Source organism: Homo sapiens, chromosome 8, assembly GCF_000001405.40.
Source record: "Homo sapiens chromosome 8, GRCh38.p14 Primary Assembly".
Lineage (NCBI taxonomy): Eukaryota > Metazoa > Chordata > Mammalia > Primates > Hominidae > Homo > Homo sapiens.
Genome location: NC_000008.11, coordinates 135,505,587 through 135,522,237, shown reverse-complemented (window position 1 = coordinate 135,522,237; position 16,651 = coordinate 135,505,587). Strand labels below are relative to the sequence as shown.

The 16,651-nt window shown below is 38.1% G+C and overlaps 1 protein-coding gene across 15 annotated transcripts in view, besides 1 other annotated feature; it reads right to left on the bottom strand.

Annotated features, from left to right (window-relative positions):
- Positions 1–16,651, bottom strand: part of KHDRBS3 (KH RNA binding domain containing, signal transduction associated 3) — a 199,061-nt gene that overhangs the window by 134,279 nt on the left and 48,131 nt on the right. For all 15 annotated transcript variants that reach the window (XR_242372.3, XR_001745458.2, XR_928287.2 and 12 more), the window contains one exon: positions 883–1,001. Coding sequence is in view for 9 of the 15 variants with exons in the window: in XM_047421269.1 (XP_047277225.1) it covers positions 883–1,001 (119 nt within the window). In the remaining 6 variants the exon portion in view is untranslated. The remainder of the gene's footprint in view (positions 1–882; positions 1,002–16,651) is intronic.
- Positions 2,624–3,280: an enhancer, noted in NCBI's record as "OCT4-NANOG hESC enhancer chr8:136531201-136531857 (GRCh37/hg19 assembly coordinates)". NCBI's record gives its function as "activates a minimal SCP1, AML or CMV promoter by ChIP-STARR-seq in primed H9 embryonic stem cells {active_cell/tissue: H9 hESC(primed)}" and the evidence as "EXISTENCE:reporter gene assay evidence [ECO:0000049][PMID:30033119]".

The following is a 16,651-nucleotide window of genomic DNA, read 5'->3' as shown; positions in this document are numbered from 1 at the left end:
TTATCTTCAGCAGACTAACACAGGAACAGAAAAGCAAACACTGCATGTTCTCACTGATAAGTGGGAGCTGAACAATGAGAACACACGGACACAGGGAGGGGAACAACACACAGTGGGGCCTGTCATGGGGGCAGGGGGAGGGAGAGCATCAGGATAAATAGCTAATGCATGTGGGGCTTAATACCTAGGTGATGGGGCAAACCACCATGGCACACATTTACCTATGTAACAAACCTGCACGTCCTGCACATGTATCCCAGAACTTAAAACAAAATACAACGTTAAAAAAAGAAAAAGAAAAGGAAACAACTTGTATAAAACTGTTCAGAGAAATTTAATTTATAATAACCAAAAAATTAAAAGTGCCTAGACAAATGGATAAACAACAATGATATATTCAGGTAACAGATTATTATTCATCAATAAAAAGAAATGAACTACTAATACACACAACAGTATGCAAGAATCATGTATATGAACATTCAGAAGACAAAAGAAAAATAGCATTTAAATAAAACATAAACAATGATATTTTTGAACCTTTATGTACCAAGCATTTAACACAGATTATCTCATGTAATTTTAAACCATCCAACCTCATATTACAAATGAGGAAACTGAAGTGGAAAGAAGTTGAAGAGGCTTCCCAAAGTCACACTGCTAGTTTGACTCAAAAGGATATATTTTCAGGAATCTGTAACTCACACTAAAGGGAAAAGACAGAATGAATAAATTTACTAAGTTTTTAATTAACTTTAAAAGTGTGTGTAGGGGGATGCTAAGAGAAAACATCTCTAAAAACACCAAACAGAATATAAATTAAACATCTGCTCCCCTTTGATTCAGGTTAAAATACCTGCAGTGTAGACCTCACTGTCTTACCTTAGGGAACTGTTTTACGGGAATTAACACTTTCTGTCCCAGCTTCATGTTCTTATTAATCACCACATCGATGTACTTTTCTTCATCCTTGCCTTCTCCTTTTTGAAACTTTTCTATTTCTGTGGAGGCAAAAAGATAACCATGAAGTGTATGACTCAGAAATGCAGGGGCTGGGTGTTCTGGTTAGCTCTGTAGTGGCATGAAATCAACTACTACTGAAGTATGGACTATTAAATTGAGGCAAATGTTTTCAAGTACATTTCCGGTTTCATCAATGATTCTTCATAAATGGAATAAATGCATGTATCATGGCTCTACAAAGTCAAATCTCAACTGCTCATACCAACAGAGGAGAAAAACAGACCAGATAAACAACACAAAAATAAGTTACTTCAGGTCTTCTGGATAACTAGATAAGGCTGATCAAATAAAGAAGAAAAGCCATTAAGTATTCACAGTTCAGTGATACAAAGTGCTGAAACATCCCTAGTTACCAATCTTGCCTGGCTTTTCAAGGCTTCTACAACCAAGAACTGATTCTACGATGGCATTAAACACCCTAGACAACCTTCCAGTAGCCCACCTCCCCAATCAAATCTTCCCTCCTTGCATGTGACACATATCAACTATATGCTAATGTCTTTACTAATGCTCTTCGCTCTACTTGTTATGATGATTTCATCTTCATCTCCTTTCGAGACTCAACCACATTAAATCTCCTTTTCTGTGCAAGTGTTTCTTTCCTCAATGGGGTGGCAAGAATGGAAGAATCAATCACTCTCACCTTGATACTCACAAAGCACTTTACGTGCAACTCTACTGCTACCCTTAGATGGAAAAAAAAATGTGCTACCTCTCCCTCTGGAACATAAATTTCTCTTAGGTAAAAATCTATTTATTCACTCTTAAATATCTTAAACTAAGCAAGTTCCAGATCCTAGAAAATTTTAGCATAAAATTTCATCCACCCTATGGCCCATAGTATTTGGTTGCACAAGAGATACAAAATTAGGTGCTTGCATGAATGCTGAATGAATGAGTACTGTTACCTCCAAGCACCAACCTATAGACACCCAGGTTCAGAGAAGGATAAAGAACAGCCTGGAGAAGGTATCAAAGACGTCATCAGCTGTACAAAGGAATACACGTATTTATCCATTTTGCTTGTTAAGCTAGGAACATTTAAGAATTTAATATGTGCCATCCCTGAACAACATATCTCACATTCATGACATAATTCAATCCTCAAGACAGATGACAAAGAGGAGGTTCAAAGAGGTGACTTCACAATAAATGGCAAAGGTTAAGATTTACCCTCAGATTTGTTTGGCTCCAAAGACAAGGTGCCTGTGCAGTCTCTCCCACCATTTTTATGTCATATCAGAAAAACAAGTAAGAAAGATTTTTACAGTATCTTGGGATAAATGAAAGATTTATTTAAGCTAGAGGCTTTGGGCCTGGGGCTTCTGTCACCACTGAAACAGCCAATGGGCTTCATAATACCACGGAGGAGCTTTCACTCCATCCTAATATGCAGCCTCCCATTTCGAACTAAATGATTGTCTATTAAACAAAGGTTTTGAATGAGCAACAAAGAATTATTACAATTTAAAGGACACTAAATGGGACATAAAAATTCTAGATTCTCGTCTCAGATCTGCTAATAATTGTCTTTGCAATTAGAAAACAGTATATCAGTTAGGATGCAGGTTCTTCAAGTTTAAAATGAGAAAAGGGAACTAGAATATCCAACGATTTGGTTCTAAAACCTTAGGATCTCATGTGACTTACAAATGCTGACAAAGCCTCTCACTCCTTGATGAAACTTTGGTCACTAACAGTAAGCAAAGTGCTTTCCTGAGTTCTGTGAGTCATTATAGCAAATTACCAAACCTGAGGAAGGATCCTGGAGCCTCCAAATTTGTAGTTAGGCAGAAATCTGGGTAGCCGGAGCATTACATTGTGGCTGGCACCTGAAGTGTCAGCAGTCTTGTGGGATTAAGCCCTTGATCTGTGGGGAGGGGAGGAGGCCTGACGCTAACTCCCGCAGTTAGCTTCAGAATTGAATCACTGGATACACAGCTGGCATCAAAGAATTGGTAAGTGTCTGAAAACACTATACAATAGGGATTAAGAGCGATGAGATGGGGGAGACGGAAGGAAGCAGGGTAGAAACTGAAGATAAGAAAGGATGGCTAAGAGAAGGAAATAGCAAATTATATCTGCAGCTTCTAATCAAAGCTTCCAAGAAGAGATAAAGACTAAGTCACCAAATAAATGAATTTGTCATTTTGTCTGCTTTCTTGTACTACACTATGTTTTGATCCTGAAAAATTAATTTTAAGTGGAACCTGTAAAGGAAAAATATACACAGAAATAGAAGAGTACCTTTAATTTTATTGATTTTTTCTATAAAAATAATACATGAACATGGTAACAATTTAAAACAATATGACAGGATATAAAATTTTTTTAAGGTTTCTCCTATCACTTCAACTCCAGAAATAATTGTAATCAACTGTTTTTATATACTCTTTCAGAAATTTTCCATGAATAGAATTGACACACACACACACAGTTTGAAAATTGTAGCACCAATGGTATCAATGAGCTACACTGGTTTTGTTTTCTTCAGTAAAGAGCAGTAAGTCTCACATCAGCTGCTCCGGGTATAACAATTCATGACTTCAGCTTTAATTAGAAGAAAATAAATCCCACCCTTCATTATCTATTTATGCAATAATTAGAAATACCTTTGGCATAGTTAGACGATTCAACAAAATCAGGTACACTGAAACGTCCTAAAATTTTTTTTTGTATGGTATGTGTATGTGTGTCAAAATAGATTCAACTGCCTCCTTTTCAATTGACAAAGTAGTTTAGGCCGGGCGTGGTGGCTCACACCTGTAATCCCAGTACTTTGGGAGGCCGAGGCGGGTGGATCACGAGGTCAGGAGATTGAGACCATCCTGGCTAACAAGGTGAAACCCCCGTCTCTACTAAAAAATACAAAAAATTAGCTGGACGTGGTGGCAGGCGCCTGTAGTCCAGCTACTGGGGAGGCTGAGGCAGGAGAATGGCATGAACACGGGAGGCGGAGCTTGCAGTGAGGTGAGATCGTGTCACTGCACCTCCACCCTGGGCAGCAGAGCAAGACCCCGTCTCAAAAACAACAACAACAACAAAAAAAAACAAAGTAGTTTAGTAATTGTTGAAAACTCACACCAGATGTACAATATTTAAATCCATTAATTCAGAATTCCACACGTTTTCCCTTGTGTCAGTGTCACTTAACATTTTGTCGTAAGAAAATCATATAGGTAAGCTTTTAAAAATTAGGAATTAAGTATTTTATCACATATTACAGTTTCAGATCATCTGTTATTTTAAAAAGGAAAATGAAAGAAAATCTATATAAAATATCTAATTTCCTCTCTACATATACACAGCATCCTACAAATCTTAAGTTGCTAGAATGCACTGTTTCTATCTTAAATTTTGAATGATGTTGGAATATTTTAAGATTTTTTTTAAATTTTTTAAGCCTGATGCCATATCAGAAGCATATAGGTTTGCATTTAACAAGCCTAAAGCACCACACAACAATGCAAAGAGCCCTGAGCCCCATCGCGGGAGTCAAACAGACCTGGTTTAAATCATGAATGCTGTACTTTTCTCAGGCCCTTGTGCCTTCCAATATACAATTCAAAACTGGTTAAAACTTTTCTTGTTTTTAGCAGATGCTGTTCAATCAACAATTTTTATTTTCTACTTGAATGAGCATTATAAGTAGCTTAATTTTTTTTTGAAATCCAGAAATACATAAAATGGAGAATTGCACAAAATTATCTACGAAATCTTGAGACAGCTGTCTCAAGGATTTATGCCTGTCCCTAACTGAGAGTTGCATATTCAAAAACCCCTGCTACTACCGCTCTCATCTTCCCCGAGGGAGGAAAGATGCTTGAGATCCACCAAGATGGATGTGACCCTCTAGTTAACTGTGGCAAAGTGAGGCCACCAATAGAGAAAACCCAATCAGATTTTCAAGGACGAATGCATAGGGGATTTGACTTTCACTAATCCCCAGATTACATTTGGTACCAAACAGCTTAAGGTACCAATACCATCTCCTAGCTCAGAAATAATAAGCAAATGTGTGATTAAGGTTTTAGATAATGTAGGGGATTAAAATGCTATGTTTTCAAACCATGTACACCAAACCTCTCACTGCAGAATTCTTGTTTTCAGTAATAATATCTGTATTGTTTTTTGTTTGTTCATTTGTTTTGCTTTGGTCTAGTACAGAACTTCCTAAGCAATGGCCTCTTTTCCTTTTTAAGGTACCAGATATACTAAAGTCCACTAATATTCTAAAAATAGCTAAATAATCTTTGCATTTAAATAAGTTAAGTTTCCAATATAAAAATTTTAGTAATGTAAAATTTTTAAAGTAGCTTCATTTCTCTCATATAATCAAACACACAGATTATTTTTCCTTTGTTCTAGCAACTTCATTTCTAGAAATTTAACCTACATATATACTTAGATAGATGTGGAATATTACTCACAAAATTATCCACTACTGCATTGTCTTTAATAGCAAAACACTGGGAACCACCTAAATGTCTTATCAACAGGAGCTGGGTAAGTAGGCTAGAGCACACCCTGGAATAAAATAGCATGTGGCTACTGCACAAAATGAGGAAACTTCATGTTCTGATAGTCAAAGATCGGTACCAAATGCACTGTTTACTCACACACACACACACACACACACACACAATGTAAGAAACAAATGTTTACTTATATACACACAGAAAACATCTCCCTATTGATATACAGTTTTACATCATGTAGCGACATTACAGTCAACATATATGACAGTGGTCTTGTAAGATTATAATGAAGCTGAAAAATTCCTACTGCCTAGTAATGGCTTAGCTGTGGTAACCTTGCAGCACAAAGCATTACATGTTTGTGGCAATGATAGTGTAAACAAACCTTCCATGCTGCCAGATGTATAAAAGTGTGCAGTAATGACCCAGTCCTTCATATTCACTCACCACTCAACCACTGACTCACCCAGAGCAACTTCCAGTTCCACAGGCTCCACTCATGGTAAGTGTCCTATGCAAGTATTCCATGTTTTGTCTTTTGCACTGTATTTTTATTGTGCTTTTTCTATGTTTAAATACACAAAATACTTACCATTGTGTTACAACTGCCTACAGTACTCAGTATGGTAACATGTACTCTGGCTTTGCAACATGCTGTCTAGGTTTGTAGCCTAGCAGCAACAGGCTATATCACCTAGCCTATGTGTACAGCAAGCCGGCTGCACCATCCAGGTATGTTTAAGTGCAATCTATCATGGTCCACAACAACAAAATCATCTAAGGATGCATTCCTCAGAACACACATTCCTGTGGTTAAGCAACAAAAGACAGTATAAGAAACTAGTTATCTATTTGGCATGGAGAGGACAAAGTAGATAGGGTACAGAAATACTTTTCACTGTATCTCTTTTTGCACTGCTTTAAATCTCTTAACCACGTGAATATTTTACCCATCTAAAATGGCATGCAGGGGCCAGGAAAGGAAAAGAAAAACAGACTAATATGGTAGCCTGATGGGGCTACAGACTGCACACAGGAAAGCAGTTAATTTGTGGTGACACAGCAGCAAGGGCCAAAGCAAATATACACTTTGAGCTCACTTCTCTCTCCTGCCAAGCTTCTGCTATTGACCACTAGTGGATAGCTCTTAACCCAGCTCAAAGCCAGAGGGTAAATATATCTATGATACAGGTCTTGTACCATGCATATCAGCCTCTGGGCACAGAGCAGAGTAGGAAGGGTGGAAAGAGGACCTGATAAGGCAAAAACAAAAAAAAATCAACAACGACAACAATAAAACTCCAACCCCTCATCTTTAGCAAACACAGGGAATCTTTTTTTTTTTTTTTTTTTTTTTTTTTTTTTTTTTTTAAGACGGAGTCTCGCTCTGTCGCCCAGGCTGGAGTGCAGTGGCGTGATCTTGGCTCACTGCAAGCTCCGCCTCCCGGGTTCACGTCATTCTCCTACCTCAGCCTCCCCAGTAGCTGGGACCACAGGCGCCCGCCACCACGCCTGGCTAATTTTTTGTATTTTTAGTAGAGACGGCGTTTCACCGTGTTAGCCAGGATGGTCTCAATCTCCTGACCTCGTGATCCGCCCGCCTCGGCCTCCCAAAGTGCTGGGATTACAGGCGTGAGCCACCGCGCCCAGCCCCACAAGGAATCTTTAAAAAGAATTTCTAATACCTCCTTTACATACAAAAATATCCATCTGAGCTCACCATACATAAATTTACACAGCAAAATATTGAAAAATAATGAAAATTATTTTAGGGGTCACTTATACCAGCAGTAATTAAATTATAATTATTACTTTGTTGATGATGACTCATGAAGTACAGGGCTGTGTGTTTGACTTAAATTATCTCTTTATGCTAACAAATATATGATCTGCCGCCTGCATTTTACAGTGAGATCCTGAGGACTGAAATGGTTAAGAAGTTTGCAAAGGTTAGAGAGCTAATAGCACAGTCAGAATTCAAATCTAGATATATCTGACTTCAAGCCCATACCTTTTATTTTTTAAACTGTTATTAAAAAAAACCATAAAATTTATAGTCAACCATTTTTAAGTGTGCTGTTCAGTCCATCCACACTGTCGTGCAACAGATGTCCAGAACTTTTTTGTCTCACACAAGTGAAACCCTATGCACATTAAACTACTCCCCATTTTCCCTTCCCCTCAGCCCTTGGTAACTACCATTCTATTTTGTTTATATAAATGTGACTGCTTAGCTGTGTCATATAAGAGGAATCATACAGTATTTGTCTTTCCATGCTTGGCTTATTTCACTTAGCATAATGCCCTCAAGGCTCATCCACGGGGCAGCATGTGGCAGTATCTCCTTACTTTTTAAGGCGGAATAATATTCCACTGTAGCTATATAACACATTTTGTTTATCCATTCATTGGTTGACAGATATTTGGAGTGTTTCCACCTCTTAGCTATTGTAAATAATTAAAGACTACACCCTTTAATCTCTTTTTTCCTTCTTTCCTGAAGTGAGATGTGAAAATGTTCTAAAGCTGTAAATCACAAGCATTGGACGTTCTTAATGTAGCCACATCTGCTTATCCCTTCACTTTATTCTCCTACAGCCAAGTCATTCTGCGGGAAGCACTGCTTCAATGTATAGAGAACAGCTTGAAATTACAGAACCTCAGTACTGGTGATCTTTAGTGAGCTCTCAAAGTGGACTTAAAGGAACGGCTGAAGGAATTTTGTGTGATATCAGGAGACAGTTCTAGGTCCAAATCCAAATGAAAATATAAATTCCACTAACATCAAAATAAGCAAATTACAGAGTTAAGTGAGTACAAAGGAGTCAAACAGAAGCAATCTTTGCATAAAGTAGATGAAGGAAAAAAAAAAGAGGGGCAGAGGAGACATGACTATAGCTCTTTAGTCACTGAAGCCTAAGATGATTAAATCAAAAAATACTCCAAGGTCCTGCATGGTTATACCCTAATGTAACCGGTCAATTTCCATGGTTTTAAGTTAAGGTAAAAATTGGTACTCTGGCCCCCAAAATTGAAGAGATAAAAATAATGGCAAAAGGGTCCACTTTCTGCATCCAAGACACCTTTTGAACACTGCTGATTGTTGAATTCTTAACGGCTAAGTAATAAGAAGAACTTTCTCAGTAAAAAAAAACAAAAACATAAAACCTCAGAGAGTAAGAGTCTTTGAAATAATGCAGCCAGACTCCAACTGCTTGAGTTTGAATCCCTGCTATGGTACTTAATTATATGGCTGTCAGAAAGTAACTTATAAGTCACAATTTCCTCATCAAAGAAATGTAGAAATAACAGCGCCTGCCCCCCATAGGGTTTTTATGAGGATTAAATAATTTAATATTTGCAAAGAACAACAATACCTGGTCCAGTTAAGTTCTATATAGGCATTTGCCAAATACCGTACATGCCTATACTAGACAGTAAGTTCTTGAGGGGTGAGATTTTATCTAATTTAACTTTATATCTCTTGAGCAACCTAGAAATTGCAAGTCTGTGTCCAGCTTTTTTCTTTTTTTTTTTGAGACGGAGTCTTGCTCTGTTGCCCAGGCTGGAGTGCAGTGGCGCAATCTCGGCTCACTGCAAGCTCCGCCTCCCGGGTTCATGCCATTCTCCTGCCTCAGCCTCCTGAGTAGCTGGGACTACAGGTGCCTGCCACTGCGCCCAGCTAATTTTTTGTATTTTTAGTAGAGACGGGGTTTCACCGTGGTCTCGATCTCCTGACCTTGTCATCCGCCCGCCTCGGCCTCCCAAAGTGCTGGGATTACAGGTGTGAGCCACTGCGCCTAGCCTCCAGCTCTTAATTAAAACATCAACTTCCCCTTCACCCCACAGATGAATTGATAATATCCTTCACAATGACCTGTTTTGCTGTATAAAACTTGTACCACAACAGAATATATTTTCATATACTCATTGTTCACACTTCCTGTGCCCAACAACAAGATGGTAAGCTCATGGAAGGTTAAGAACATCTATTTATTCATTTTTGTTATATTCTAACACTTAGCATAGTGATTTAGGATAATGGCTGCACAAATGGTTACTAAATGGTTGAATAAATGAATGAATGAATGTTTAAAATAATTTAAAGGAGTATAGTGAGTTTGTAAAGAGTTAGCTAGCAGTCACTGCTGAAAACTGCTCTTCTAAAAACTGTAACTTGTTTTATAAGAACTATTAATAGAAGTTCATAAAAGGGTCAGAAAATAACTGAATAATTCAAATCAGCCTGCACAATGACCTACTAGTGTGGAAATTAATAAGATCAATAGAGTTATTACCCCCCCCCCGACTTTTCCAAACACCTTAACTCTTGTGTAAAGTTTAATTAAAGGACAGGCATTGGCCCAAATCTATAATAAAATGAGAAGCTCATATAAGATGCTCAACATTCAGAAATCGATTTCAAAATAGTACAACAGTCCAGCTGGAGTATTTAAATTGTTTTTAAAAGAAATATAAAGAGTATTTACAGCCATCGTAAATTCTATTGGACAAATTACTAAAATGTTACTGTAGCTGCTAATCTGAAAAGGAATTTTTTAACCTCCAACATGACAAATGTTTTCACTAAAGAATTATTTTATTTAAGCAATCCAAACCTAACTGAATCCTCATTACATTCAAACCAGAGTTGAACACACTATAACTACCCAAACTAGATTGATTCATACAGTGCCTAATCTTGCAAGTAATATTCCATGAACAAATGGCAAAGCAGAGTAGAGACACATATCAGTCTAATAAGGACAAATAAGCTCATCATAAATACGCATAAATATACCATCTAGGGAGAAAGAAACACTCGATACTCTAAATATTACAAATGCTTGGAAAACTGATTTTTATAAACACAGAGCAGGGCTGGGTGCGGTGGCTCACGCCTGTAATCCTAGCACTTTGGGAGGCCGAGACGGGCGGATTACGAGGTCAGGAGATCAAGACCATTCTGGCTAACACGGTGAAACACCGTCTCTACTCAAAATACAAAAAAAAATTAGCCTGGCGTGGTGGCAGGCACCTGTAGTCCCAGCTACTCGGGAGGCTTAGGCAGGAGAATGGCGTGAACCCAGGAGGCGGGGCTTGCAGTGAGCCGAGATCGCGCCACTGCACTCCAGCCTGGGTGACAGAGCTAGACACTGTCTCCAAAAACAACAACAACAACAACAACAAACAAACAAAAAAACAGAGCAAATATTTGTACGTAAAATGTCCTTAAATATACATACAACACATAAGATTAAAACATACACACGAGAAAATGACAGTCAAATTTCCAAAAAGGAAGACAGGAGGAAAAGAAAGGAAGAATAATAATGAGGAGGATGGAGAGAAGGAGAAATTAATTAATTCTACCCATCATGGCTAATTAACAAAAATATTACAATGATATTAGCAGCTGGAATTTATTTAACGACTATCTTCCAAGTAGTCAATCTCTGCAACACTGCTGCAAAGTAGATACAATGTTCATTTACAGAAAGGAGATGACTATTTATAGACATCCAGTGACTAAGCTAGAGTCCCACATCCAACAGAGATTCAGGATTCCAGCCCCAAGTTATCTGATTCCTATGTCCATGCTTCCTCTACTTTCTTAGTATTACTGTAGCAGAGAGATCTTGATTTGGGGTGAGAAAAAATGTTTTGGATTATTACATTTTGGGGAAACTCACCAAGTTATTACAAGTATCAAAAGAAATGCCTATGAAAGTGCTTTGAAACTACAACACACAAAGCAAATATAGGTTTATTTAAAATACAATTCCTAATTTGTGATGATTTATTTATACTGTTAAAAAAGGTGGGGGGAAGAGAGGAGGCCAGTACACTGAGATGGCTCCAGAGCTTTGGGTTCATACGGAAGCAAACTGAAACCCAACTTAGAGTGAATGACCACAGACTAGGAAGAGAATACTTAAGCTTAACCAATGAGAAACCACCAACTAACCTGGAACTAGAGACTACCAATCAAAAACCATCAACTGGCCGGGTGCAGTGGCTCAAGCCTGTAATCCCAGAACTTTGGGAGGCCAAGGCGGGTGGGTCATTACGTCAGGAGATTGAGACCATCTTGGCCAACACGGTGAAACCCTGTCTCTACTAAAAATATAAAAATTAGCCGGGCATGGTGGCGTGTGCCTATAGTCCCAGCTACTCAGGAGGCTGAGGCAGGAGAATCACTTGAACGCAGGAGGTGGAGGTTGCAGTGAGCTGAGATTACGCCACTGCACTCCAGCCTGGGCGACAGAGTGAGACTCCGTCTCAGAAAAAGCACCATCAACTATCCTCTAACTAGGGACTTTCCACTTTAACTAATCAAATATTTTCTTCATCTTGTTTCTACAAACATTTTATAAAAGTTCTGCCCTCACTCTCCTTCGCTGAACCACTTGAGCTCTGACGCTGCCCAATTCATGTCTGCTCAAATAAAGGCATTACAATTTCAGTGTGCCTAGCCAGGCACTGTGGCTAACACCTGTAATTACAGTACTTTGAGAGGCTAAGGAAAGAGGGTCACTTGATCCCAGGAGTTCAAGACAGCCTGAACAATGTCTCTACAAAAAATAAAAATAATTAGGCATGGTAGTGCATGCCTGTAGTCCCAGCTACTCTGGAAGCTGAGGCAGGAGAATCGCTTGAGCCCAGGAGGTCAAGGCTGTAGTGACCTATGCCTGCACTACTGCGCTCCAGCCTGCACAGAGAGAGAGACTCAGGTCTTTAAGCAAAAAAAAAAAAAAAAAAGGGGGGGGGAAAGAAAATTTCAATGTACCTAAGTTTATCTCTCAATAGCTCTTATCTTATAGAATGGATTTCAAGAAGAATTTGTGACACCAAAATGATTCCAGAGAACCAAATCCAGATACATTTAAAAATTCCAAACACTACTCAGAATTATTAAAATTTTGTACAATTCTTAAGAAAACTAATGCTACCAGTGTAGCATTTGTCACATTAATTTCTCCTTAATTATACATAGTCATTCACAAAATGAAAGGCATTATGACAGGAAAGAGAAACACAAAGATAAGACATAGTCATTCAATGCTTCAATGAGATAAATGTATCCTTAAACAAGAGGAAATACTCAAAGGTCTTCACAAATGAGTAGGTTACTGGATTTTGGTACTATATTCTAACAATTTTAAATACATGCGTAAATTTCATAGGTTTGTTAAAATTTTAAAACAATAAGGACCAAAGAGTAGAAATTGAAGATGGGATGTTCCCTAAAACTGGTAGAAGGAATCTAACAAGTTGAATAATTATCATATTCTAGACTCTATACTGGAGGCTTTATAAACATTCAGTCCTCATAACTTCTCAGAGTGCCGGGACAGAAATTACCACTCCCTTTTTCCCACACCTAATAAATGGCAGAACTAAAGTTCGGTTCCAGCATTGTCCGACTCTCAAAGGTTTTGCTTGTTTCCCCAGATACCAAATTACAAGAGCTGGCTTCAAAACAAAATAAAACCTTCCAAGAAACAAGTCAATGAAACAAATTAAGTTTCACCTCCAACAAATATATGGAATTCTATTGGGATAGTCAATTGTATTCATTTAATGACCCCCATTTACTAAGATATGTAAAAGAGGAACATAAAAACATCATAAATGTACAATAGTACAAACTAAATTATATCATGCTATTATGCACAGTGGTGAGGACAACAAATGACTGAGATTGAGGTTCACCTACAGATTTATTGGTCCCAATGGTGAATACTGGTGAGTTTCTCTTCTAATGACTCATTTTTATCTGGTAGTCAGGAAAGTTCTGAAATAAATATTTACGGAAACTGGCTAGAAAGACTGGCTAAGTTTTTACTTAAATCAAAAATGACAAGCAGGAAAGTATACCTAAACAACAGGAAAAAAGAGGCTAGGAGTTCCTGTCTTCCCAAACAGACCAGTCCCTTAGCTATTCTAAATAATTGAGGATTATTCTTAATATAACCCAATGCATTTATCAAATAAATAGTAAGTCCACAGACTAAACGAGGTAACCAGTGCACCGGACTAATTCAAGTTAGTAATGACTTAAGTCACTAACTTTGGGAAGGAGGGGATGGGAGTAACTATTAAAGACTGAAAAAGGAAAATCTACATTTTTATTTACACCTATGGGTTAAATCACATTTCTCACTTTTAATTGCAAACATCATTAAGTATACTGCAAAAGACCAGCTACCTTAAACAATTATCAGGCTCCAGAGGTCACCAATTAGAATCCTGCAAGGATCTGAATTAAAAAAGGTTTTATGATTAGGTGAAGTAATGATCCAAGAAAGAGATTAGTTCTGTTCAGACTGCACTCATTATAAAACCCATTTCCTTTGTGTGAAGATTCAATGTCTTTCTCATTTATCCCGCTGGCATTATCACACTTTGAGATAGAAATATGACTGTACTAATGATATTCTATAACAACCATATAATACAAGCACCTTATTCTCTATTACTTTCATATCTAATAGAACAAAAAACGAATATTTTCTGTTGGTTAGATGTACCATAACACACTGACACTATTTAAAATAAATTCAAAATAGGATTTATCATTCTATGTCCATACATTTTTACATCAGTTTCTGAACCAGTCCCTATTTACACAGTAAAGGCTCAGAGTAAATTCAGGGCGGGAAAAGAAACTTAAGACATTAAATCATATTTTCCGTATGATGATATTAAAGGGGGTCACTTTTATATAAAGAATTCTACTCATACTCAATGTTTTTTTCTAAGCCAACTGAAAACGGCCAAACAGGCATAAAACACTTTTTAAAAGCAAAACACAATTACAGCAGAAATATACATCCTGTCACTTAGATTTACTCATGATAGAAAATTAAGACACTGATGAAAAATCAGTTTGCACAGACTTTAATAGTCACAGCCTCTGTGGAAATGAAATATCTCAGCATAGAGCTACAGAATTACTGAAAATGAGACCTGTCTTCTCATATCAATTTAAAGACAGGGAGTGTTATGCATACTAGGTCACTCTCCAGTCACATTTTACATATTGCTCCGCCTAGAGTCAGATGCTATCTCTTCACAGAGGACATTCCCACTGGGGGTTTCCTTTAAGGGAGGTTGTCAAGTTAAATGCAGACATTCACATGCTGAAGCAAGTTACACGTTAAAAACGTAGGGATTTCGTTAAAAAAAAAATAAGTACACCATGGCCAGTCAATGGCATTTGTTTTCATTTTGTCCTTCGACCATAAAGTGTTTAGTTAAAAAATTACGCATTCTAGAGGGTTCCACTTGCCAAATCTACTGAAAACAGACTGATCTACTTTAGGGCTGAATATACAGATTCCTAGTCATTTCACATTGCCTGTCTGGGCAAATGAGACAGAATCAAAGAATAAATACAGACCTTTACTTTGACTAAAACTAACAATAAGTACCTTAGATGGATATCTGACTGTCTTCTATTCTCATCTTAAAAACAGGAGGTGGAATAATTCGTTGATCTTTATTACACATGACTAGCTAAGATACTAACACTAAGACTAATAACAGGGCCAGGAATCTAGAAAAGCATTCCACTAGATCCGTTTGAAGAATTTGCCAATAATTATAGGAACTACGGTTGCCAGCTCACCAAAGGTCCATGATACATAAACAAATATAGAATATATCTGCAGTCTATTTATTTGGGGCGGGCAGATAATTAGGAAAAAAGATGTCTAAAAGGCTCCATAAAAGAGGCAATAATAGAAAAAAGTTGAAGAGCACTGCCTAGGAAAGCCAGCTGAAATAAACGAAAATGTTTATCCTACAGGATAAATGATTCAGGAGAGAATCAAACTTATAACAAAAGTAGTTTTGTATATTATGTAAAAAAAGGGTTAGATTTGTCAGTAAAAAAAAACAATGGTACAATTAGGACCAAAGATAGAAATTATAGAGAAAAGAGGTCCAGTACAAATTACTGAGTTGAAGATTCTAACAATAAATTTGACCAAGGATGGAACTAACTGTCTTTAAAATATTTTTAAGTTCAGCCAGGTGCAGTGGCTCACGCCTGTAATCCAAGCACTTTGGGAGGCTGAGGCGGGAGGATCACAAGGTCAGGAGTTGGAGACCAGCCTGGCCAGTATGGTGACACCCCGTCTCTACTAAAAATACAAAAATTAGCCAGGTGTGGTGGCGGGCACCTGTAGTCCCACCTACTTGGGCGGCTGAGGCAGGAGAATTGCTTGAACCTGGAAGGCAGGGTTTGCAGTGAGCCGAGACAGCGCCACTACACTCCAGCCTGGGCAACAGAGCAAGACTCCATCTCAAAAAAAAAAAAAAAAAGAGGAATGTTACAGAAGGAAGGATCCAATCATCTGATGGAAGGTTGGACTTGGAGGTTCCTTTCAACCCTGAGAGTTACACACATTTTTATCATCTGTCCTGCTGACTAGCTTGACAGGTAAAACTGTGTTATTCATCATCTTATCCCCAGTCACTAGTTTTGCACCTTGAATAGAACACACATTCTGAAATTTTTGTTGAGTGAATACAAGTGAATAAATGATGATATTCTTCATGAAAAAGCATGGTGAGACTTGATGAACGTTTAAGAATACTCAAGGTTTGAATTAACAAAAGTGGAAGTCATCTTTCATTTCCACAAACAAGCCATCTATGCCAGTTATTAAGCTATGGTCTCTTAGCTCCACACCTACCCGCCTATACGCTGTCCTGGAATGCTGGGTAGAGATTTGGAAAACCTCATTTCTCCTCTGCCAGTGGCTCCCTATGAGGTTCTGCGAATCGGGAATGTGAGGTAGGGGACTTGTTCCTTCCCACTGTGTTTCCAGTTCCTGGCAGCAGATCAGAGTGATGGTTCTAAACTCTAGCAGTTACAGTGATTTTTTTACCCTACATTCCCAGAAGCACGCTCACCATACCTCCTCAGCAAGCCAGGACCCATTTCTCGGAGGTCTGAGTCCCAGCCCTGTGAGGACCCTCTTCAAGCTCCTGAGGTAACAATACTAACAGGGTCTTGGTCCTACTTCCTCCAAATTACTTCTTTTGCTCCTCCAGCCTTGAGGGTGATGGCTTGCTGCTAACCTTTTGTTACTATTTCTGTATCACTTCAGTACTCCCCATTCGCTTTTTGGGTCAAC